General features: G+C 42.6%; 1 protein-coding gene across 4 annotated transcripts in view, besides 1 other annotated feature; it reads right to left on the reverse strand.

The window, feature by feature from the left end:
• DAB1 (DAB adaptor protein 1) overlaps nucleotides 1–26,665 on the reverse strand; it is a 1,551,949-nt gene that overhangs the window by 1,152,825 nt on the left and 372,459 nt on the right. The window contains exon 5 of one of the 4 annotated variants that reach the window (NM_001379461.1): nucleotides 2,909–2,986. The exons of the other annotated variants lie outside the window; for them this stretch is intronic. The gene's annotated coding sequence lies outside the window, so the exon portion shown is untranslated. The remainder of the gene's footprint in view (nucleotides 1–2,908; nucleotides 2,987–26,665) is intronic. 4 annotated transcript variants of the gene reach the window in all.
• Nucleotides 21,546–22,120: an enhancer, noted in NCBI's record as "NANOG hESC enhancer chr1:58634820-58635394 (GRCh37/hg19 assembly coordinates)". NCBI's record gives its function as "activates a minimal SCP1, AML or CMV promoter by ChIP-STARR-seq in primed H9 embryonic stem cells {active_cell/tissue: H9 hESC(primed)}" and the evidence as "EXISTENCE:reporter gene assay evidence [ECO:0000049][PMID:30033119]".

A 26,665-nucleotide genomic window follows, 5' to 3' on the forward strand; every position in this document is an offset into this window, starting at 1 on the left:
ACTCCATCTCAAAAAAAAAAAATAGTATAGCCATTATGTAAAATAATATAGAGGCTTCTCAAAAAAACAAAAATAGAACTACCATATGGCTCAGCAGTCCCTCTGCAGAGTACATACCCAAAGCAAATAACTTTCATTGAGAGCTTACTATGTGCTAGATATTCCCACAAATGCAGTCTCATCTGACCCAACAGTATAAACCTGCAGGAAGCAGGCATTATTATTAAGTCCATTTTGCAGTAGAGGAAACTGAAGATTGGAGATATTAAATTAAAAAACTATCCTGTCAACCATCCAATTAGCATTGGAGCAGGGATTTCAATCCATATCTGTATTACTCTGAAGCTCATGATATTTTACCAAGACATACTATAGCTGGAGAAAAAAAAAAAAAAAAGCAATCTAAAGTGCCAAAGAAAGCCCCTTGTGTTTTCAGTGACAAATGGAATTCAAAATCCATGAAACCAGGGAAAGTATTGAGGAGTCATCAAATCAACAAAATGTTCTCGCCAACATGGTAAGACTTCTGATTTTAAGGCCAAGCTTTCTCTGTAGCCTGACCTACCATCTGCAACCCCCTCACCATCACTAGCCACACATGCCTTAGTCCAACTGGCAATTACCTACCACCAGGACTATTGCACTTATCTCTTAACTGGCCTGTCTTCCACTCTCTCACCCCTACAGGGTATTTTCTACATGGCAGCCAGATTGATATTTTCAGAACACACACCACATCATACTATTTCCTCAGCTTGAAACTGCCAACCGCTACCCACTGTCTTAGAATATATTCTGAACTCTTTACTGTGACCTGAAAGATGCTACATGGCTTGGCCTCTGTCTGCCTCTTGACTTTGTGAACTACTTCTTTCTCCCTTGCAAACTACATTTTGACCACTAAGCTTCCTTTCGATCATTGTATTAGTCCATTCTCATGCTGCTAATAAAGACATACCTGAGACTGAGTAATTTACAAGGAAAAAAAGGTTTAATGGACTCACAGTTCCACATGGTTGGGGAGGTCTCACAATCATGGCAGAAGGCAAAGGAGGAGCAAAGGCATGTCTTACATGGTGGCAGGAAAGAGCTTGCGCAGGGGAACTGCCCTTTATAAAACCATCGGATCTCTCGAGACTTTTTCACTATCATGAGAGCAGCACAGAAATCACACCCCCCCCCCAACCTCATGATTCAATTACTTCCCACCAGGTCCCTCCAACGACACATGAGGATTATGGGAGCTACAATTCAAGATGATATTTGGGTGGGCACACAGCCAAACCATATCAATCATCAAATAGACCATGATCTCCCCTGTCTCAGAGCTGTGGTGTGAGGTGTTCCACTGCCTGGAATGGTCTTTACTCCAAGTTCTTCATGTGAATTCATGTGATTCTTCTTGCTGTTAAGGCCTCAGCTTAAATATCATGTCCACAAACAGTTCTCCCCTGGTCACCCTACAACAGTAGTAATTTCTACCCCTTTCTCTCCATTCCACTATCTCTTTTATTTTCTTCATAGTACTTCTTACTAAAAGTTTCTTGTCTACTTATTAATTTTCTGTCTCTCTCTGATCAGCAGATAGTAAGAACAAAGAGGTGCAAGTTTTATGATAGGTATGAACAAAAAATTCTCTTGTTCTAGTGAACAAGAGATTCTAATAGGGATGGCCTCCAAGAAGGAGGAAGAACATAAGTGTTGATTATTATCATATAATTATAACTAAGGGAGGCAGGAGGGCTACTATCTATGGAAAGAAGGAAAGACTTTATTCTATCTTGCAAGTGGGTGGTGATGGAGGGCACTATTTTTAAGACTTTAGGGCAGGCATATAGCAGGAAGGAAGCCATCAACTGTCTGCCCTTAGTGATAGTTACCCTGACAGCGGCTGCTATGGATACGTTTCCTGAATACTAAACCGGGTTCATACAGGGCTTCGGATCCCAAATTTGACAAGAGTCATACTCAGGCCCTGAACCATCAACCTGACACAACTCAAACAGTTCCCCAGGGCAAAACAGCACCTTTGGAACCTTAAATCAACAACTGAGTGTTGAAACCAACAGCTGCACATACGCACACACACCTTGCTACAAGGTAGGAGGTGATTTTTACCAAACGGGGAGTTTTCACAAAGCCTTCTTCTCTGCTCCCCTATCCACCCCACTCACACTATTATTTTTGCAGCCTTTCACTGATAAATATGAGTTCAACCTTAAAACACCACATTTTCATCTTGAAACCAAGGTAGCTAACATAAAGGATAAAAGAAATAGAAAAAAAACTTCTTTTATAATGAAGCTAAGTCAGTTGCTTACTGGTGATGCTTTCAGCCACAAAGAAAGGTTTAAATACTCTTCAGGGTAAATTACTATTGTTACTCAAAAAGTAAGAGGGAGAGAGCCAATGATTACATTAGCTTCCATTCATTGAAAGCCTTCTATGTACCAAGTGTTTTAAATGTATCATCTCTAAGACTTACAAATCACTGCAAAATAAGTGTTAGTATTCTCATTGTACAGATAAAGGAAGAAAACCTCAGAGAGGCTAATAAACTTACTCATACTTAATAGCCAGGAAGTTGCAGAGCCAAGATTTGAACCCAGGTATGCCTGGCCCCAAGGCACCCACATATTCTCTACTATGTCTCTATTCCAAAATCTCTAAGGGTCAAGGTCTTAGACTCACAGGTTCTATGTGCCTACAAAACCCAGAAGCAGCAGACAAATTAAATAATGCAGCAGTTTAAATAAGCATCTCCTTTGTCTGAGCAAGGCATTTCACAGCTCTTTTCCATCCCCTATTCACAGTCAAGCTTCTCCCCACCTGATAAGTACTTTACTAAAAATAACTGGAAGACAGGCTAAAATGAAAAAAGGAGCATAGATAAAATGTGGCAACTTGCCCCAAAGGATTTCTTCTTGGACTCACACTCTCCAAGGCAGTGAATTTGCATTTAGGTAAAATACGAAGACTGGGAAGTCTAAAAAAAAAAAAAAAAGTGGGAGCAGGTTGGGAGGCTCACTTTCCTGTACCAAACATACTCAAGGTAGGTTCCACTAAGTTTTAATAAGACCATAGTTTTTTGGTTTTTTTTTTATACTTTAAGTTCTAGGGTACATGTGCACAATGTGCAGGTTTGTTACATATGTATACATGTGCCATGTTGGTGTACTGCACCCATTAACTCATCATTTACATTAGGTATATCTCCTAATGCTTTCCCTCCCCCCACCGTCCCCTCACCCCACGACAAGCCCTGGTGTGTGATGTTCCCCTTCCTGTGTCCAAGAGTTCTCATTGTTCAATTCCCACCTATGAGTGAGAACATGCGGTATTTGGTTTTTTGTCCTTGCGATAGTTTGCTGAGAATGGTGGTATCCAGCTTCATCCATGTCCCTACAAAGGACATGAACCCATCATTTTTTATGGCTGCATAGTATTCCATGATGTATATGTACCACATTTTCTTAATCCGGTCTATCATTGATGGACATTTGGGTTGGTTCCAAGTCTTTGGTATTGTGAATAGTGCCGCAATAAACATATGTGTGCATGTGTCTTTATAGCAGCATGATTTATAATCCTTTGGGTATATGCCCAGTAATGGGATGGCTGGGTCAAATGGTATTTCTAGTTCTAGATCCTTGAGGAATTGCCACACTGTCTTCCATAATGGTTGAACTAGTTTACAGTCCCACCAACAGTGTAAAAGTGTTCCTATTTCTCCACATCCTCTCCAGCATCTGTTGTTTCCTGACTTTTTAATGATTGCCATTCTAACTGGTGTGAGATGGTATCTCATTGTGGTTTTGATTTGCATTTCTCTGATGGCCAGTGATGAGAGCATTTTTTCATGTGTCTGTTGGCTGCATAAATGTCTTCTTTTGAGAAGTGGATAAGACCATAGTTTTTGTTAAGTATTCTTCTCTAAGTCAACCAAAAAGTACCAAATATCTTGAAAATTTGTAAACAAGAAAATGAAATTGCATAGAAGGCTATCTTAACAGTGGCTGCCCTGTGTCTGCATACCCTGGCCAGAACGCTGCCTTACAGGCTCATTCATTCTTTTGTGCATTCATTCAGCAAACGGTTCCTGAATGCATACTATGTGCAATGTACCTGCTAGATACTGAAGATAAAGAAGGAAATAATTTGCAGCCCCTTTCCCTGGAGAGTTAATTCCAGTAAGGAAGAAAGACAAGTAAATACACATTTTGATATAGCTGGATAAGTGGTAAAAGTCTATCCATTGGAAGAACGGTTGAAGCAAAGAAGAAAACAACCAACTCTGTGGGGAAGGAACTTCTTGAGCCAGGTTCTGAAGAACAAGTAGGTCTTTATCAGAGATTTAAGTAACAGAAGAATATCCCAGGCAGAGAGAACAAGATACGAAAAAGCACAGAAATCAGGAACAAGGTTGATTCCAGGGTGAAAATGAGTAAAAATATTAAAGGGTCTTGAGGTGGGGTGGCGAAAGAAGATCAGATACATCAGGCAAATATATGGTAAAATTAGTATTTTTTCGACTCACTTCCATGTTACTCAGTGATGTCCTGAAGAGGATACACACGGAAAGGGAAATTCTCATAAGCTCACACAGGGACATACTATACCCCCCATTCTACAAGCTGGAATTTCATTATCCCTGGATGCTTGTCCATGTATATGAAGGGCTGATTCTTGGGCAAGTATTTGCCTAATAAGATCCCTACTCCACTCTACCACTGCCTTATCAGAGAGAAGGTAAAGAGAAATGCCACAGTGAATCTGTATCCCAAAACAAAGCCATCGGAAGCAGTAAAGGAAGGGGTAAAGGGAAGTTTGAAGAATGACATTGCCCATTGGCACATCAGGCACAAGCCTTCCTCCTGGGCAGCTCCTCACCCTTCAAAGTACTACCTGTGCACCTTAGGAACATGCATGCAAATCTCTGCCTCTCAGTCTTCTCTGCAAAATGGGGAGAATGATGCCTGTCACACAAGGTTATCATTAGGATTACACGAGCTCTATCATGCTAATCCCTATTGCAACATCAGACATATACTATTTCCTTACTACACATTTAGTGCCAGTTTTCTTATCCTTAATTAAAGAGCCATTCACAGCAATGACCATGAAAGAAAATATTACCAGTTTTTTCTATTATTCTCAACCAATCATTCACAACATACGAGTAGTAAGTTCCAGTTTTAAAAGCACTTCAACATCTATTAGCCAATATAGTTATCTCAGTAACCTTCTGAGTTAGATAGAAAGAGTTATGTACAGGTGACGAAACAAGTGGCCGGTCCAAATCACACAGTTATTAAATGACAGAGAATGAACTTGAAACTTTATCCTTTGTCTTCAAAGCTCCAAATCTGGACCACATGACATTGCTTCTGAGTACTCTTCTAGAAAGAAAACAAAAAAATTGGCAGCCACTAGCAACCAAGCTCATCTTACTAAGTGCAATATTAGTGACAATTTCTTATAAAATGTGTGAAACTTCTTTTATGGCATGGCAAGTATCTTTGTCAAACCCTACCTGTCCATCTAGAGATTCGAAAGACAGAGACCATGTCTCATTCATGCCTTTACCCCCGAGTGCCTGATAATATTTCTGTCATACAGGACAACTTTAGCGTGTTTGCTGAATGACTGGATGGATTTTATAGGCACTTACTGATTTACAAAGTACTTCCACATCTTTCATCTTATTTGATTTTCCAAAAAGCCCTGGAACACAAAGGAAAGCTGATATCATTATCCACATTGCACAGATCATGATGAGCAGGTCATACCCAGGCTGCTGTTGTTTTCTTTCTTTTAAGAATTATAATGGATTCTTACTCCCTCCTGAAATAGATCCCAGCTGAATTCTACAAACTGCTGTTGGCCCTGCCACACAAGTCTGCTTGAAAGCTAATATAGACACTGTTTTATTATTGTCTTTCATATCTTATGAAATACATCAAAATGTGAAAAACTCTGTGATAATTAGACCAAAAAAAGCTGAAGCTGAACCATTCAACCTAGAGCTGTAATGTGGGGTGATTGTTACATTTCTATTCTTTCCTTTTCTCACCTCCTTTTGGTCTCCATTGTCTATAGGATGGAGTATTCATCTTCCTCCACAAAAAGAATCTGCTTCTTACAGAATAGAGTTGCCAGGACTGTGGGAGCCTTGTTCTCTGTGTTAACCCGTCCTGTCATGTTTGACAGCACACAGCTTCTCCTGAATGGCCTCCACCCAGTTTCTCATCTAGTGTGCTGAGGGCCTATCCCAAGAAGTGAAGCCTGGTAATAACACTCTCTTACACCAGGACTCCCCCCAAAACTACTGTACCTTGTGTTTATCCTTCTTCTTCAGGGTGTCCAAAATCTATATCCTATCTACCTTGGCAGCCTCATCTTTCAAATTTCCTATGTGCCCTGCCTTCTACCAGACTCAAATAGTCAGCGATTCCCTAAACAACTTATTTGTGTTTCCTCATGTTATCCCTGATCCATCACCAAGGATGAAGCCTTCATTTTAAAAAACGCTCCCTATCCTTCAAGGGCTTTCCTTTGAAACCTCCTTTGGTTACCTTCAGCAAGTCATTCAACACATATTCAGTAAGAAACTCCTTTGTACCCAAAAACCCCTATCTGGAGGAGCTTAATATCTATTGAGCAAAAAAGACTCGTTAGAAAAACCCAACACAATGGCTGTCATGGTGTTGGGTCAGCCACTGAAGGGAGTACAGTAGAGTCCATCCCGACCCTCACTGAGACTACAATCTAGGCAGAATGTGAGGAGCAGAAAAATGCACCACCAGATCACCAGGCTTGAAACAGACAGGAGTCCTGTGTCATGCAGTTCTTCATTCATTCATTCATTCATTCATTCATTCATTAGCAATGTGCTAGGAATACAGAAAGGAATGTGGTGTGGTTTCTGCTCTCAAGACTTTACAACCTGGCAGGAAAAACAGAGATATATATATACAGGGCTCTGCCACAGGTAAGAAGCACCTGTACCAAGTACCAGGAGACTAAAGGAGGGTGACTGGCTCTGCCTAGTAGAGTCCAGAATGCTCCAGAAAAGGGGAGTAATTGTCAGAGCTCTGAAAGAGAGTAGGAGTTTGCCAGGTAGAGAAGAAGAAAAGGGAATGGAAGGAGAGGAGAGAGAAGGAAAGCGTTGGTGGGGAAAAAGAACACTGTATCAGTCAGATGCCAGAGAAAATATCCCAGTTACTTTGGAATAGAGATTTCAATGGACAAAAGTGTTAAGGTATAAAATTATTAGCTAAGTAACTGAGAGATTAAAAGGAATTCTAAGGCATCATGAAAGTAGCAATTGCAAGAAGCAGCTACTACCCCTATAAGGAAAGGACAAGGGAAGAAACCTAGAGACTTAGAGGAGAAAACCCATTGGCAGGTGGTGGTGTTAAAATCAGATCTCCAAAAAAGGGCACTACTCAGCCAAGGGCTGGTGTCTCAGCTCAGAAGAGGGCCTCAGGGCCGGCCCAGACCTCTGAGGATGTCAGCTGGTACTAATGTTACCTAACTGAGGTGTGACAAAGCTGTCTGCAGGTGTTGGAAAAATGCAGCCTGGATTCAGCTGCTGCCAAGGGAAGGAATTGCAGCTGCCAAAGTGAAGAAGTATGTCTATACCTAGACTCTAGGTCAGTGGTTCTAAACCAGGGGTGATTTTGCCCTCCAGGGAACATCTGGCAATGTCTGAAGACAGTCTTAATTGTCACAATTAGGGGATTGGTACTACAATTTAGGACAGGGTGCTGCTGAACATCCTATAACACACGAGACCCCATCCCCCAACAAAGAATGACTCAGTCCAAAGTGCCAAAGTGGAGAAACCTATTCTAAGTTAACACTGTGAAAAACGGGAAGCAAACCAGGAGCAAGTCCTGCCTGGCCCCATCCAGCCTTGGAGTCTCCCTCTAGCACCCCCTATTGGCAGAGCCTAAGAGGGAGCCAGTGGACAAAACAGAAATAAAAATTTCATCACAAAGTTAAGAACAAAAGGATAGGGTTGTAGCTAAGTGCCAATAACTTAGTAACCGGCACAAACATTGCAGGTCCGGCTATCAGAGCAAGCAATGACATGACCGTAGATACAGGAATGGCATTTGAGAGAAAGACTCAGTAGCCAGGAGTGCGTGAAGCAATGCCTGGCACGTTGCAGGTGATGAGCAGAGAGTGAAATTTAGCAGGCACGTATTCAATAAATGACTTCATGATGAAAGATTTCCAAGCAATACTGCTTCCAAACTAACACTCCTGGTGGTATTTAAAATTCTTCAATTTGAGAATGAATACAATGCCTCCCAATAGTGAAATCTCTTCTGTTCATGAATGTGGCATTTTGCTTTCTGCCTGTCTGTTGTCTTATGAGGAAGAGAGTACTTTCTGAAGTCTGGTTTTCTGACTTTGTTAAAAGTGCAAGTCTTTTTGTTTCATAATTATTTTTTACACAAATGAGATCACAACACTATTTCACTCATCAACAGTGTTTTGGAGATTTTTGCATAATACTAACAAAGATTTATTTAGTGCTATTTATGCCTTACAATATACTTTCCCACTCTTATCTCACTTTATCTAGCACTTGCTTCTCCATTTTTGAATGAGAAAATTGAGGCTCAAATGAGATGAAGTGATTGGGTCCTAAGCAGTGCCTTAAGTGGAGAAGTGAAACCAGATGCCTCAGAGGTAGCAAAAAAAGTAGCTTCTCAGTTGCCTTGAGGTGGCTGACATTGCTGTGTATCTTAGCGCTTCCCAACCTGGGCATGTTTCAAGTGTAGCTAGTTTCTTATGGCATGCTAAGCCCTTAACTTTTTCCTCCTACACCCTCTATTTCCACTCACTTGTAGACTCAATGGAGCAATTCAGGGTGTTTTTTGTTCCACAAGGAACCACAGTCCAGTGAGAAAGACAGAAGAGTTAATGCACAATTTCAGTACAAAGTGCTAAGAACAGAGTGGACTCTGGGTGCATGGTATCATACAGACAGGGCAGGGTACCTAGTCCTGAGAGGTCAAGGAAGCTTTTTTGTGTAAGGCAAGATCTGAAAGACAGGGAAGAAGTAGGTGAAGGAGAAGGCAGGCTGCACAGAAGGGAACAACATGTGCAAAGTGCGGAGGAAAGGAAGAACACAATGTATCAAAGGTCCACAGGTTGATTGTGGAAGGAGTTTAGACTGAGAGGAAAATCATGCTGCACAAGGAGACTGAAGTGATAAGTAGGAATCAGAACAACAAGGGGTTGCAAGCTAAGAGAAGGAATTTCAACTTTATAATGGTACTAGCTAATTACAAGAGCACAGCCATTTATCTTCTTTGAGTTTCAGTCTCCACATGTGTAAAATGGTAGTAACAGCATCTGGTCTGCCTACCGAACGGGATCTGAGTTATTCAAATAAAACACACATACACAGAGTCACATGGTGATTTGCTTAGGAAGCTGTCACACATTATCACTAAAGCATCCCACGTCACCTGCAGAAAATAGAAGCAAAAGCCTTCCCTTTCCTCCCATTTCCCTCAACCCCTGTGAAGGAAAAAGCCCCCTCTGGAAAAGAAAGACTCTCCTTAGTCCTTTGCCAAAGCTTTTTCAAGCAATAATCCATAATGCAATCTTCATTGAAATTGTATTTCAGCCCCCCTCTGCTGAAAATATGAATACATGTGACTGTAGCCTCAGAATGGCCTTTGTGCCTTCCTGCCCCTGGTGTGTGCCTTCCTAAGCGGCTGCCCTCATTGTGGGCACCAGCCTGTGTGATAACATTATAATTTTGTGTACATTGTGCTCTCAGAGGCCATGCTGAGGCCAGCGTGAGGAAATGGTAATTGACAGCAGGCCCAGGCTTCTTTGTGAAGATCTGTGGCTTCCTCATCTGTGAGTTTACTGAGTTCCAGTCACTGGATTTGGGTGGCTGGTCCCAAGAGGCATGGGAACAGGCACCACGATGCCTTGTTTAAGTGCTTTGTAGAAAAGGAGACAGCTTGAAAATGAGGGTGTTCTAGGCATAGAGAATGACTTGTGGTGGAGGGCAGTGATCGATTCAGAGCTTAATTATCTGGACCAGGTAAACACTGAGTTGCTGGAATCCAGAACCAAATCTGACAGGGCCTTAGAAATCACCAGGGGAGATGATCTGTATCATCTTTTTAGTCCATGATCCTTCTACTTCATTGCAACTATTCTCTACCCAAATAATTTTTATACTGCTAATGAACAACTCTACAAACATTTGAGAATATTTATTAAATGCCTATTATGAGCTAACACTTATGGGCACTGGGAACACAGTGATGAACAAGGAACAAATTTATAGTACATGGGACTTAATGCACTGGGTAGGAATCAATTGCACAATTACTGCAAATGCTGATCTTTCCTGATTAAGGAAAGTTACTTAGGGAAAACAGCCCACAAGGGGTTAAATGAAAAGCTATATTCTGCCTGTCCTAGTGACTCTAATGCCAGTATTCAAAAAGGTTCACCCACCTTCCCTTTTTTCCTTTACTTATTCTCTTCATTTGCATGGAGAAAGGAAGACCAAAGCCTCTTACAAATTACCTTATGCACTGAGCCACAGACCCAAACAGAGCTCAGATTATCTATTTAATTCTCCAGCCTGCAAGGGGGCATTTACCCATTGTCTATGTCTTATCCAAATGTAATGGATTAGTTCAGAGCCCAGGGGGGAAAGGCATGAATACTGTGTTTAGAAGGAAAGCTATACAGAGCAGAGATAAATTCAAAGGATGATTTTACAAAAGAGAAAAGTTGGGGTGAGTTTTTGGGAAAACCCCTGTGAGCCTAGGTATCAGTCCTGGCTTGTTCAAAGCTAAAACTCTCGGTCCACATCCAGGATGGTCCCCCACCCTCTACCAAAGGCTGCTCTATCTCCAATCTCACACCCCAGACAAGGGGTCATCCATCACCAGGGGAAGAAGGTGAGACTCGAAGGTGGGAGTACAGCAAGTCAGACTACACACACTGGAGAGAAAAATCTACTGCAGCTCGCGTTTCCTTAGAAACCCCCACAAGCTGAGAATGGGAAAGTAGCCACACAGTCAGACAGAGGTCTGTCTGATTCCTTCATCAAAGATCATACCCCGGAAGGAGGAGGAAGACATCGTTAAGCAGCTTAATCTTTCAGGCAAGGCCTGGAGAAAGCAGCCTCCTGCAGAGCCAGAAAGATGCAGGTCTGGATCCCAAAGCAAATGCAGGCACAGGCAAGGCAAGGAGAGTCGAATCTACACACATACACATGCACACAAGCACGCACGGGTGAGAAACCCTAATGATTAAGCAGGGGAGAGGAAATATTCTGATAGAATATTCAAATGAAAGGCGAGTTCCCATAGAGACCCCTTTGTGAATAACCACACAATAATCACATGACCTTCAAAATAGAACTGGAGACAAATCTGATTTCGTCTAATTCTGAAAGCATGTCAAGCTCTTGCCCTTGCTAGTGAGCTCAAGCTCTGGAACCCAAACTGAACAAGAATTCTGTCTTCAACATTTAATAGCTCTGTGACTTGAGGCAAATTACTTAACTTCTCTGAGCCTTATTTATGAAAGGAAAAGTCCCTACCTTAGTGTTAAGAATTAAGTGAGATAATACATGTACAGCATGTAGGACAGTGTCTGGCTCCCTCTAAAGACTCATTCAAGTCAACAGATAAGAAGGAACTGCAATCCAGGTTCAACATAGAATGAATCCCATCGAGTTTATCCATTTCCACAGACTGAAAGAAGCTAGAGGCAAAAAGAACATACTATGTTATTCCTATATATGAGGCCCAAGAACAGGCAAAACAAATTGATGGTCAGAATTGTGGATGTCTCTGGAAGTACAAACTGAGAGGGACATGAGTGAAATTGCTTGGGTGCTGGAGCTATTCTATATGTTGATATGGTGGTTATATGAGTGCATGCATATGTAAAATCTCTCCACGCTGTACACTCAACATTACTGCAATGTAACAGAGCCTATGGATCATCAGTCTTCTCATTGGTCATCACCATCTGTGACAGCAGCTGCAGGAAGTGAGAACTGGGTTGCACCCAAGGTACGTGGCGGCTGATGCTTTCTGCAAGACATTATATGTAAAGGTTGATTATTAGAACCCTGATTCTTTCCAGCAAGACACAGGTTAACTCACTGTGAGTTTAGCAGAAAAGGCATGCATATCCCCATTGCTCAGCTGAGGACACTAAGATTCAGGGTACCAAGGTCAGTTGTCCATGAACACAGCTGGTGAAGTTAGAGTTAAGGAGAGAAGGCAAGTCTCCATGCTCCACTATATTTCAATCTGTTTAGAGAATTCCCTTCTATCTACTAGAGACAAATTCCCTAGTCCTGAAGGAGGAAATAAAAGAAGATACCTTTTTTTTTTCTTAAAGAGTTCTTCCAAAGAGAAAAAGGCATTTCAAATACAAATGAACAAAAGTAAGCTATATTGCCACCTGCAGCCTCTGTGAGACCTAATGGCAGGTAGGAACAAGAGGGTCTGTGGTTTGAGGTAGAATCAGGGTCACTGTTCCCACTACCCTAGGCAGGTGCAGTTGCAGGTAGGCCAGGGGGTAAGGAGGGGTGGTAAGAGCTGTCACCCAGTCTGTCTGTCTCTGAATGGCTCTGGGAACTTCTCCTGGAGGGGAACGGTCTCAGTTCTATCAGAGAGTTTCAGCAGGTTTAAGAGCAGAGCAGAGTAGTTCCCTGTTACCGCAGGCTGCTCTGGATAAGGAAACAAACATTTTGGGGCCTCCTATCATGTACCTGGCATAGTTAGAGGAGCTGAGGATAGAGTAATGCCACTCAAGAAAAGCAAATCCTGTACAGAGGGCAATTAGGGAAAGCCTCTTCATGAAACTGATATTCAAAAGGCAACCTTTCATAGCATGAACTTGGGCTGAGTTGCAATTCCTATGGGGAACAGCCAGATACACACGGGCTGGGCCTCACCAGAACAAGTTTCCCTCCAACGATCTCAAACTACATCACTGAAAATCAGTCATGCTCTTACAATCCAAGTACAGCATTTGCTCTTAAATTCAAACCAATAGGCTACAAAAAAAAGTTGTATCACTTTGTTATAACATGGGTCCTACAGGCTTTAAATAATTTTGGGTACAATTTTGGGTACAGTTACCAGACTCAAGGAAAAAGCCTCTTTACAATAAAGCATGTGTTTGGAATACTGGGCCCCAAGACTCCTACCAATACCAATCCAGTGCTTCTTCTGCTATGTCACTAATATATGTTGAAGAATGGGAAGCAAATTAACAAGGCAGCTCCTGCCTTGAAAAAAATGCAGTCTAGTAGGTGGGCTAGTCACATGCACAACTAACCACAGTAGAAGGTAGGAAGTGCTGTAGTTGTACTGTATTACAGTTCTAAGCTGATGCAACGTAAGGAATACATAAGGGTCCATTGCCCATCTAGAAAAGATGTTATAACCTAGGCAGGAAGATGGGACACAAGTAGAAACGACTCTCACCAGCAAAGGTAGAACCACAACACACAAGGAGTCTCAAAGAATGGAGTCTTCCCCTTTGTTCATTTATTTAATAACATTTACTGAATGCCAGGTATTTAATTGGCACTGTGATAAACAAGTCAAGATCCTTGCCTTAGAGAGCGCAAGTTCAATTGAGAGTAAAGCCTTATAAACAGACATTCCCAATGCATATTCATGAACACATGCATACAGTAGCCTGGGAAGTGGAATAAAACGATTTTTATTTCTAGGACTTGGGAATGCCTTAAGATGAAGAAGAAAAGAGCTTGGGCTTTGCATTTTAGGCAACAGGAACAGGATTATTTGGAATCACAAAGGTTTGGAAGAACAAAGTGTTTTACAAAACTATATTGCAGCTGAAGCACTGGGTAAGTAATTGAGAGTAGTCGAAGACAGGCAATAACATGAGGTAACATTTAATCAGTACTTACTGAGTGCCAAATACTGTTCTGTGATTAAACATATATGTATATGTATATATTTAAAAGATATAGATACATGTTTTAAAGACATATATGTATATATATAATTTCTCAGTAATCATACAAGTAAATACTGTCATCATGCCCATTTCACAGAAAAGAAAACTGAGGTTCACTAACTTGTTCAAGGCCATTCAGTTAGTAAGTAGTAAAACTTGGCTATGAACTCCAGAATTCATTCCTTAACTACTGCATTGTCACCAAGAGCCTGGTTCAAGACTATTGACTTTATTACTTCTCGATGGAGACCCATTTAAGGCTTTTAAGCTAGGGAATGACATAGTCAGATTTACATTTTAGAAAGATTAGGCTGGCTGCAATATAAAGAATGGGATTTGAGGGGTACAAAAGCAACAACATGATAACCAATTAGGAGGCTTTGCAATGGTCCAGGGAAGAGAAGGGAGGAGGTAACAATAGGTACAGAGGGGCTGAGACAGGTTATTTAGGGGGAAGAGGTAACAATGTTCGGTGATAGATAGGATGTAGGGCATGAAAGAGAGGGAGGTATAAAGGATGATTCTTCAAAGTGCAGAATCAGCCTTGACAGGCAGATCTTGCCCTTAAAGTAACGGGAAAAGAGGATATTCTTATCATGCCAAAGGACAGTGCTATACGAGACTGACAACGATCCTGTCAAACCTCTGCACCCAGGTATATGAATTCAGAAGGCTGATCCAAATAATAGCTATTCTTAAGTCTCTGTCAGCCCACAGCAACCTTGTTTTCTTTTTTTTCTCTATTCTTTTTTTCCTTCTGTTACTCATTTCCTCCCCACCTTCCTTTCTGCCTTTCTTTTTCTTTTAAATAAGTATAATTACATCAGTTTTCATTGTAAAATAACCTGTGCACATACAGAAAATTCAAGCAATTCAGAAAAACGCAAAGAGACTAGAAGTTTCCTAAAATCCCACCTCCTTGAACACCTTAGCGAAGGTCTTTCCAGGCATTCATAATTGCACAGCATACACAAACACATTCACAAACACTCACACTGAAACTCTACTTTTTTATTTTGGAAACCTGTTTTATTTTTCAATTATTCTGTTACAGAAATCTTTTAAAGTCAATGAATATGGATGTAAGTCATCTTATTTAGTGGCTAGGTGGTATACATTGTATGTATACATTATAATAAGGAATATGTGTACATTGCCTGTATACATTATAGTCTATTACAAAAATGGATTCAGCTGCTGCCAAGGGAAGGAATTGCAGCTGCCAAAGTGAAGAAGTATGTCTATACCTAGACTCTAGGTCAGTGGTTCTAAACCAGGGGCGATTTTGCCCTCCAGGGAACATTTGGCAATGTCTGAAGACAGTCTTAATTGTCACAACTGAGGGATTGGTACTACAATTTAGTAGGTAGAGGACAGGGTGCTGCTAAACATCCTACAACACACGAGACACCATCCCCCAAGAAAGAATGACTCAGTCCAAAATGCCAAAGTGGAGAAACCTATTCTAAGTTAGCCCTGCGAAAACCGGGAAGCAAACCAGGAGCAAGTCCTGCCTGGCCCTATCCAGTCATGGAGTCTCCCTCTAGCACCCTCTACTGGCAGAGCCTAAGAGGGAGCCAGTGGACAAAGATAAAAATTTCATCACGAAGTTAAGAACAAAAGGATAGCGTTGTAACTAAGTGCCAATAACTTAGTAACTGGCACAAACATTGCAGGTCCGGTTCTCAGAGCAAGCAATGACATGACGGTAGATATGGGAATGACATTTGAGAGAAAGACTCAGTAGCCAGGAGTGCGTGAAGCAAAGCAAAACCTATTACAAGTTCCAGGAATAGCCAAGTGAAGAGATAGACAAATCCTCTCTCTCCACAACATCTATAAAGCTGGACAAAATTAGCAAAATCAACCATCCCAGAGTTGGAAGTTGAACAACAGCATATAACGACCTGAGAAACATTTATGTTTGAAAATCTGCTGAACTTTGGGTCAGAACAGGGGGAATCTGGTGCCTGCTTGCCTGGGACTGAACTCCTTCCCAATCCATATGGAAGCTCGAAGAGGGCAGGATGAGCCTAAAGACCACAACTTTTCTGCCAGGTAAATGTGGACTCACCAGGCTCAAAAAGGTGGGAGATGCCCATGCTCAAGTGTATTTTCAGCAGAAGTGATGACCCAAGGCAGCCAGCAGTGAGGGTCAATAACTCCACTGGTCTGACAGAGACGTATTCCTGCCTGAGGCTGCTCATCTGGCATAAGCTGTTCACACACTCCTGGCTGATCTTGAGGCTGAGAACATGCACATAGCTCACAAGAAAAAGCACAGTGTAAATTCAAAGCCAGAACAGCTTTGAAAAATACCCAAACTTTTAATATGCTTTTCTACCCACACATAGTTCCAAGAAAGTCTTACTAGCTTGAAGTATTTGAACACAACCTCTGTCCACTCTGACTGCTGAGCTATGCAAACACGTGGCAACCCTTAGGCTTAAAAATAAAAACATGAGTGAAAAAAGCAAAACTAAGTGGAGACATCATCAGCCATGCACTGTGTGGGGAGGGTAATGAATTTCACAGATTTAGCCCATGAAAGCTACTAAACAACTCAAGAGAGCTCAGCTTAAAAAAAAAAAAAAAAAAAAAGATGAGTGATCAAAGGTCAGAAGAGCTCCTTTTCTAAATTCCAAATCTCATATTCACTTTTAAGGCTTTACATCACATCTCCAAGCAATAGTGGATACAGATAACTTTATTTCCACTTAAGTTCTCTATTTTGCAAAGTTGGCTTGGGAGATACTGAAATCAGTGGTGAGTATGTGTCAGCAAAGAACATATCAAAATAGCTGATGGTATTTCTTCAAAAACATCTCTCTGATCTGAAGTATAGATGAGCACATCCACTCAGAACAGGCATTTAATGCAAAGGCTTTTCCAGTCGGCTCTGATTTTTCAAAGCCCTTCTGAGTTTTATAGCTTATAATAGCATCCTTTTTTAAAAAATGAAATCTGAACAATTATTAAAATGTAGCATGCCAATGAAGGAAAAATTGATGTGATTCTCATGCACACATGATAACACATTACGAAATGCTACCAGTGAGATGAGTGTTGGGACAACCAGGATGTGGCTGCAGCCTTAGGCCTGGACACTACCTCCAGTTCTCTAACACAATAGAATAAAACAAAAAGGAAGAGTCCTCAATAATAAGCTATCCCACCCTTTATTAAATGCAAGAATCCCCTCCACTATATCCTCATGAGCTCCTTTCAGCATCTGCTTAACATATATAATGAATACAGAAGATTACTTTAGAATAGGGGTTAGGTCTGGGGTTATATCTATTTGGTAGATGTATTTCATTTGGCTAACATTTAAAAAAATGTTAGCAATATTTTAAAATTAGGAAATGTCACACAAAAACTTGATTTTCTAACTTTTAAAGGAAGCATAGTTCTGGCCACTCTAGGCCCCATTTCCACATGGAAACAAAATGAGACTGATTAACAAATGCTCCTTTTGAAAGGGGCCCGGACCCCCTAGCTCACCAAGGTCCTGACCACTGCCTAATGCCCATAGGACCACATTAATCGCCACATTCACACTGTTGCTTTTTCTTGAAGTAAAGACAGACAGATGTGTCCCAGAACTCTCTCCACTGAGGGGAAGTGAAAGGCAGACTGAACCTGCTCTGGTTTTCTACATCAAGATTACTCACCAAGTGCCTGGCCCGGAGGGATGTGAGAGTGTGACCCCACTGTGTGAGGAACCCTCAAGGACCTCCTTCCCATTAGTCACCTCTCTCCATCTGTTTGCCATATAATTCCTGCAAACCTCCCCGATTCTCTGTACATCCTTTTATCAGTCTGCAAAAGGAGGCTCTCTTCTCGGTCCTCGCTCCCTCTACCTGACAGGAATGCCTTAGAAGCCACTTGATAACATCTGCAAAAGGGCGGCGAGCTTCCCATATGTAAGTAGATACAACAGAGCATGCATGTTACCATGTTGAGTGTTATTAAAGTTGCTTATCTACCTCCAAGTGACACTCTCATATAAGTGGCTAGCAACTCATGTTCAGATAATGCTAAGCAGTATTCCAAGCCTAGACCACAGGATAGACCTATAAACCAACTAAAATTTTGTAGAGAAAATCCCAGAGTGGGCAGAGGTTTTGGGGATCAGTGAAGAATAAGAGGAAAGAGAACTCTGTTTTAACCACTGTTGTAAAGATAAGAAATGGGCAGACAGGAGGTCCTGGATCTGGAAGACTATGTTGCTGTCATTGATTGTGGGCTTACTGTATGCTACACATCTTATGTGTGTGGCCTCATTTAATTCTTTGTAAAACTCCATGAGATAGCTGTTGTTGTTTTCAGTTCACCATGAAGAGCCTGAGCCTTAGAGAGACTAAGTAATGTTTTTAAGGACACATGGTTAGTAAGTAAGTGGAAAGACCAGGGTTCAGCTTCAGGGCCTGGATTCTTAATTGCTATGCAATTTTGCCTCTCTGTACTTAAAGAGGAAGAGAAGAAGTCACATTTATTAATCAATGACTATACATCAAGCTAGATATGATTTTGTATTTTTAAAGCTCTATTGAGATATAATCTACACACTGTAAAATTTACTGGTTTTAAGTGTACAATTCCAAGATTTTCAGTAAATTTACATAACCGTGCAACTATCACTGCAATCTAGTTTTAGAACATTATCGCCACCCCAAAAAGATGCCTGTGTCTGTTTGTAGTCAATCCCTGTTCCCACGCTAAGCTCCAGGCAACCACTAATCTACCTTCTGTCTCTATAGACTTGTTTTCCCAGATATTTGTTACAAATAGAATTGTATGTGATGTTTTGCATCTGGCTTACTTATTTAGCATAATATTTTTGAGGTTCATCAACATTTCAGTATTATTAGTATTTCATTACATTTTATTCCACTGCCTGGGTATACTATATTTGTATATCCTTTCACCACTACGTGAACATTTGAAGTGTTTCCACTTCCTTGGATACTATCAATAATGCTGCCACGTGCATTCCCAAACAAGTCTTTCAGGGACACATGTTTTCCTATATGTTTTCATATAGGCAAATCATGTTTTCATGATATCTGTGAGTAGAGTTGCTGGGTTATATGGTAAACTCATGTTTAACATTTTTTGTTGTTGTTTTTGTTTGTTCGTTTTTTTTTTTTTTTAATTTGAGACAGGGTCTTGCTCTGTCACCCAGGCTGGAGTGTAGTGACATCATCACTGCAACCTCCGCCCCCCAGGTTCAAGTGATTCTCATGCCTCAGCCTCGAGAGTAGCTGGAATTACAGTTGTGCACCACCATGGGCTGGCTAATTTTTGTGCTTTTAGTAGAGATGGGGTTTCACCATGTTGACCAGGCTGGTCTCGAACTTCTGGCCTCAAGAAATCCACGCACCTTGGCCTCCTAAAAGTGCTAGGAATATAGGTATGAGCCATTGCACTCAGCCAACTATTAAAAAAAAAAAAAGCTGCCAAATTGCTGCCATAATGGCTGTATCATTTTACATTTTCACTAGCATTATATGAAACAATGTGTATTTCAGTTTCTGTATATCCTAATGAGAGGTGAAGCCAGCTGGGCTTCTGGGTCAGGTGGGGACTTGGAAAACTTTTGTGTCTAGCTAAAGGATTGTAAATGCACCAATCAGCACTCTGTAAAAATGCACCAATCAGTGCTCTTTGTCTAGCTAAAGGATTGTAAATGCACCAATCAGCACTCTGTGTCTAGCTAAAGGATTGTAAATGCACCAATCAGCACTCTGTAAAAATGCACCAATCAGTGTTCTGTGTCTAGCTAAAGGATTGTAAATGCACCAATCAGCACTCTGTAAAAACGCACCAATCAGCACTCTGTGTCTAGCTAAAGGATTGTAAATGCACCAATCAGCACTCTGTAAAATGGATCAATCAGCAGGATGTGGGCAGGGTCAAATAAGGGAATAAAAGCTGGCCACCCAAGCCAGCAGTGGCAACCTGCTTGGGTCCCCTTCCACGCTATGGAAGCTTTGTTCTTTCACTCTTCACAACAAATCTTGCTGCTGCTCACTCTTTGGGTCCGCATTACTTTTATGAGCTGTAACACTCACCACGAGGGTCTGCGGCTTCATTCCTGAAGTCAGTGAAACCACGAACCCACCAGGAGGAATAAACAACTCCGGACGCACCACCTTTAAGAGTTGTAACACTCACGGCAAAGGTCTGTGGCTTCACTCCTGAAGTCAACAAGACCATGAACCCGCCAGAAGGAAGAAACTCCAGACACATCTGAACATCTGAAGGAACAAACTCTGGACACACCAACTTTAAGAACTGTAACACTCACTGTGAGGGTCCACAGCTTCATTCTTGAAGTCAGCGAGACAAAGAACCCACTGGAAGGAACCAATTCTGGACACATTTTGGCAACCCAGATGGGACTATCGACTATCGCCAAGTGGTGAGAACCACTGGACCCCTTTCACTTGCTATTCTGTCCTATTTTTCCTTAGAATTCAGGGGCTAAATACCGGGCACCTGTCAGCCAGTTAAAAGAGACTAGCACAGCTGCCAGATTAAAGACATGGGTAACAGGCTTTCTGGGAAAGAGCTCTCTAACAATCCCCAGCTCTTCAGAGTTGGGAGCGCTGGTTTGCCTGGAAGCAGCTTCCGCTTTTCCTTTACTTCTGGGCTGAGCCAAGGGTCGACAGAGAGGAAAGCCATTCAGCTCTGGGGTCCCAACAACAAGCTGGTTGACCCTGTGGCCATGAGCGGAACTCTCAAAGTCATGTCACCCAAGCGAAACTTGCCCGTCTATGCTATCTATCCTGACACTTGCCTCCTGGGTCCTAATGCCTGTCAGACAAACTTCCTCTCGTCTCTCTTCTCTGAGGCTAGTCCCACTTCTAAAAACCACTCCCTGTCTCTGGTGCTTTTCTAGTTTCTCCTATGATTTCTAGTATAAACTCCAGGACTCTATTCCCTTCTTTAGGTACACGGGCTCACCAAGCAGAAAGACATAATTTTTGCCCAAAGCCCCATCATAGGGGAGACTACCTGGAATTTTAGGATCCCTCCTCAGAGAAGTAGGCCTAACAAAAGCTATTCCTGAAGCTAGGATATGGGGAGCTTCAGAAATGACATCCTTCCTATTCAAGTGAGGACAAAAGGTGTCACTCTTCCTACCCTGGAGATCCCTTCTCTCCCTCAGGGTATGGACCTCCACTTCATTTTTGGGGCATAACATCTTTATAGGACATGGGTAAAGTCCCAATACTAACATGACAATGCTTAGGACTCTAACAGGTTTTCAAGAATGCATCAATAAGGGCCACTAAATCCGATTTTTCTCGGTCCTCTTTGTGGTCTAGGAGGACAGGCAAGGTTGCAGGTTTTCGAGAATGCATTGGTAAGGGCCACTAAATCTGACATTCCTTGGTCCTCCTTGCAGTCTAGGAGGAAAACTAGTGTTTCTGCTGCTACGTTGATGAGTGCAACTATTCTGATCAGCAGGGTCCAGCAACTGCTGCAGGTTCTTGGGCCAGAGGTGTTTCTGCTGCTGTGTCAGTGAGCACAACTATTCCAATCAGCAGGGTCCAGGGACCGTTGCAGGTTCTTGGGCAAGAGGCATTTCTGCTGCTGCATCAGTGAGCACAACTATTCTGATCAGCAGGGTCCAGGGACCATTGTGGGTTCTTGGGTAAGAGGTGTTTCTGCTGCTGTGTTGATGAGCACAACTATTCCGATCAGCAGGGTCCAGGGACCATTGTGGGTTCTTGGGCAGGGGGAGAAACAAACAAACCAAAACCACGTGTGGTTTTGTCTTTCAAATGGGAAACATTCAGGCATCAACAGGCTCACCCTTAAAATGCATCCTAAGCCATTGGGAACAATTTGACCTGCAAACTCTGAAAGAGAGGCACCTCATTATTCTCTCTCTGATGGGGAAAAAAAGCCATCTGAGGGAAGTATAAATTACAATATTATTCTGCAGCTTGACCTTTTCTGTAAGAGGGAAGGCAAATGCAGTGAAATACCTTATGTCCAAGCTTTCTTTTCATTGAAGGAGAATACACAACTATGCAAAGCTTGCAATTTACACCCCACAGGAGGACCTCTCAGCTTACCCCCATATCCTAGCCTCCCTATAGCTCCCATTTCTATTGATGATAAGCCACTTCTAATCTTCCCCACCTGGAAGGAAACAAGCAAAGAAATCTCCAAAGGACCACAAAAACCCCCAGGCTATCGGTTATGTCCCCTTCAAGCTGTAGGGGGAAGGGGATTTGGCCCGACCCAGGTACATGTCCCCTTCTCCCTCTCTGATTTGAAGCAGATCAAGGCAGACTTGGGGAAGTTTTCAGATGATCCTGATAGGTACATAGATGTCCTACAGGGTCTAGGGCAAATCTTCCATCTCACTTGGAGAGATGTCATGCTATTATTAGATCAAACCCCGGCATTTAATGAAAAGAATGCAGCTTTAGCTGCAGCCCGAGAGTTTGGAGATACCTGGTATCTTAGTCAAGTAAATGATAGAATCACAGCCAAAGAAAGGGACAAATTCCCTACTGGTCAGCAAGCCATCCCCAGTATGGATCCCCACTGGGACCTCGACTCAGATCATGGGGACTGGAGTTGTAAACATCTGTGGACCTGTGTTCTAGAAGGACTAAGGAGAATTAGGAAAAAGCCCAAGAATTATTCAATGATGTCCACCATAACTCAGGGAAAGGAAGAAAATCCTTCTGCCTTCCTCGAGCAGCTATGGGAGGCCTTAAGAAAATAGACTCCCCTGTCACCCAACTCACTAGAGGGTCAATTGATCCTAAAAGATAAGTTTATTACCCAATCAGCCGCAGATATCAGAAGAAAGCTCCAAAGGCGAGCCCTGGGCCCTGAACAAAATCTGGAGGCATTATTAAACCTGGCAACGTTGGTTTTATAATAGGGACCAAGAGGAACAGGCACAAAAGGAAAAGCAAGATCAGAGAAAGACCCCAGCCTTTGTCATGGCCCTCAGACAAACAAACCTTGGTGGTTCAGAGAGGACAGTAAATGGAGCAGGCCAATCACAAGGTGGGGCTTGTTACCAGTGTGGTTTTCAAGGACACCTTAAAAAAGATTGTCCAACGAGAAACAATCTGCCCCCTCGTCCATGTCTGCTATGCCGAGGCAATCACTGGAAGGCACACTGCCCCAGAGAGCACAGTGTCTCTGGGCCAGAAGCCCCCAACCAGATGATCCAACAACAGGACTGAGGATGCCCGGGGCAAGTGCCAGCTCATGTCATCACCCTCACTGAGCCCCGGATATGTTTAACCATTGAGGGCCAGGAAATTGACTTCCTCCTGGACACTGGTGCAGCCTTCTCAGTGTTAATCTCCTGCCCCAGACGACTGTCCTCAAGGTCCGTTACCATCCGAGGAATCCTGGGACAGCCTCTAACTTTCTCCCACCTCCTCGGTTGTAATTGGGAGACTTTGCTCTTTTCACATGCCTTTCTTGTTATGCCTGAAAGTCCCACACCCTTATTAGGAAGGGATATATCAGCCAAAGCTGGAGCTATTATCTACATGAATATGGGGAACAAGTTACCCATTTGTTGTCCCCTACTTGAGGAGGGAATCAACCCTGAAGTCTGGGCATTGGAAGGACAATTTGGAAGGGTAAAAAATGCCCGCCCAGTCCAAATCAGGCTTAAAGACCTCACCACTTTTCTTTATCAAAGGCAATATCCCTTAAGGCCTGAAGCTCATAAAGGATTACAGGATATTGTTAAACATTTAAAAGCTCAAGGCTTAGTAAGGAAATGCAGCAGTCCCTGCAACACTCCAATTCTGGGAGTACAAAAGCTGAATGGTCAGTGGAGGCTAGTGCAAGATCTTAGACTCATCAATGAGGCAGTAATTCCTCCATATCCAGTTGTACTCAACCCCTATACCCTGCTCTCTCAAATACCAGAGGAAGCAGAATAGTTCACTGTTCTGGACCTCAAGGATGCCTTATTCTGTATTCCCCTGCACTCTGACTCCCAGTTTCTCTTTGCCTTTGAAGATCCCACAGACCACACATCCCAACTTACATGGATGGTCTTGTCCCAAGGGTTTAGGGATAGCCCTCATCTGTTTGGCCAGGCACTGGCCCAAGATCTAGGCCACTTCTTAAGTCCAGACACTCTGGTCCTTCAGTATGTGGATGATTTACTTTTGGCTGCCAATTTGGAAGCCTCATGCCAGCATGCTACTCTAGATATCTTGAACTTTCTAGCTAATCAAGGGTACAAGGCATCTAGGTTGAAGGCCCAGCTTTGCCTACAGCAGGTCAAATATTTAGGCCTAATCTTAGCCAAAGGGACCAGGGCCCTCAGCAAGGAACGAGTACAGCCTGTTCTGGCTTATCCTCACCCTAAGACATTAAAACAGGTGCAGGGGTTCCTTGGAATCACTGGCTTTTGCCAACTATGGATCCCCGGATACAGCGAGATAGCCAGGCCCCTTTATACTCTAATCAAGGAGAACCAGAGGGCAAATACTCATCTAGTAGAATGGGAACCAGAGGCAGAAACAGCCTTCAAAACCTTAAAGCAGGCCCTAGTACAACCTCCAGCTTTAAGCCTTCCCAAAGGACAAAACTCCTCTTTATATGTCAGGGAGAGCAGGGATAGCTCTTGGAGTCCTTACTCAGACTTGTGGAACAATCCCACAACCAGTGGCATACCTAAGTAAGGAAATTGATGTAGTAGCAAAATGCTGGCCTTACTGTTTACGGGTAGTTGTGGTGGTGGCCGTCTTAGCATCAGAGGCTATCAAAATAATACAAGGAAAGGATCTCACTGGACTACTCATGATGTAAATGGCATACTAGGTGTCAAAGGAAGTTTATGGCTATCAGACAACTGCCTACTTAGATACTAGGTGCTACTCCTTGAGGGACCAGTGCTTCAAATACGTATGTGTGTAGCCCTCAACTCTGCCACTTTTCTCCCAGAGGATGGGGAACCAATTGAGCATGACTGCCAACAAATTATAGTACAGACTTATGCCGCCCGAGATGATCTCTTAGAAGTCCCCTTAGCTAATCCTGACCTTAACCTATATACCTATGGAAGTTCATTTGTGGAGAATGGGATACGAAGGGCAGGTTATGCCATAGTTAGTGATGTAACTGTAGTTGAAAGTAAGCCTCTTCCCCCAGGGACCAGTGCCCAGTTAGCAGAACTAGTGGCAGTTGCCCGAGCCTTAGAACTGGGAAAAGGAAGAAGAATAAATGTATATACAGATAGCAAGTATGCTTATCTAATCCTACATGCCCATGCTGCAATATGGAAAGAAAGGGAGTTCCTAACCTCTGGGGGAACCCCCATTAAATACCACAAGGAAATTATGGAGTTATTGCACTCAGTGCAAAAACCCAAGGAGGTGGCAGTCTTACACTGCCAAGCCATCAGAAAGGTGAAGGAGAAAAGGCAGAAGGAAACCACTGGGCAGATGCTGAGGCCAAAACCGCTGCCAGGCAGAACCTCCCATTAGAAATACCTACAGAAGGATGCTTGGTATGGAACAACCCTCTCCAAGATATTAAGCCCCAGTATTCCCCAACTGAAACAGAATGGGGATTTTCACAGGGGTATAGTTTTCTCCCCTTGGGGTGGTTCATGACAGAAGAAGGAAAGGTACTTATACCTGAAGCCAGCCAGTGGAATTACACTCTACCACTTCAAACCCCAACTGATCATAGTAACTGCTGAGTTACCCAAACAGCTCCATTCAGATGGCTTGTCCGCTTCTCAGGGCCTCCAAAAATCATCATCTCTTCCCTGCTTAACAAACAGTCCAGGTTTTGTAATGGCAAACACACTCCCTGCATGACCATTCACCCCGAACCCCCTGCAGCAGCGACCCCACCACTAGTGAATGCCTTCTCATCCCCTCTTTTAATCACTCTCTTGAATGGTTCCTAGTAGATACAAAATGGTTTTTTCTCCAATGGGAAAATAGAACACAGGGAGCCACTCAGTTTGCTCCCAAAACCCCTTTCCAGCCACACACCGGAGCTACCTTGGCAAGTACTCTAGGAGTATGGGAAAGTGAAAACAACAAACTCACACACCTTTTTAACATACACAACCAGTTCTGTCTATGCAGCCGAAGTATATTCTTCTTATGTGGAACGTCAACCTGTATCTGCCTCCCTACTAACTGGAAAGGCACCTGCACCTTAGTCTTTCTAAGTCCCAACATTAACATTGCCCCAGGAAATCAGACCCTATCAGTACCCCTCAAAGCTCAAGCCCATCAGTGCAGAGCCATACAATGAATACTCCTACTTGTAGGGTTAGGAATGGCTACTGCTACAGGAACCAGAATAGCCAGTTTATCTACTTCATTATCCTACTACCACACACTCTCAAAGGATTTCTCAGACAGTTTGCAAGAAATAACAAAACCTATCCTGACTCTACAGTCCCAAATAGACTCTTTGGCAGCAGTGACTCTCCAAAACTGCCAAGGCCTAGACCTCCTCACTGCTGAGAAAGGAGGACTCTGCACCTTCTTAGGGGAAGAGTGTTGTTTTTACACTAACCAGTTGGGGATAGTATGAAATGTCACCTGGCATTTACAGGAAAAGGCTTCTGAAATCAGACAACACCTTTCAAACTCTTATACCAACCTCTGGAGTTGGGCAACAT

This window comes from Homo sapiens, chromosome 1 (genome assembly GCF_000001405.40).
Source record: "Homo sapiens chromosome 1, GRCh38.p14 Primary Assembly".
NCBI classification, from domain to species: domain Eukaryota; kingdom Metazoa; phylum Chordata; class Mammalia; order Primates; family Hominidae; genus Homo; species Homo sapiens.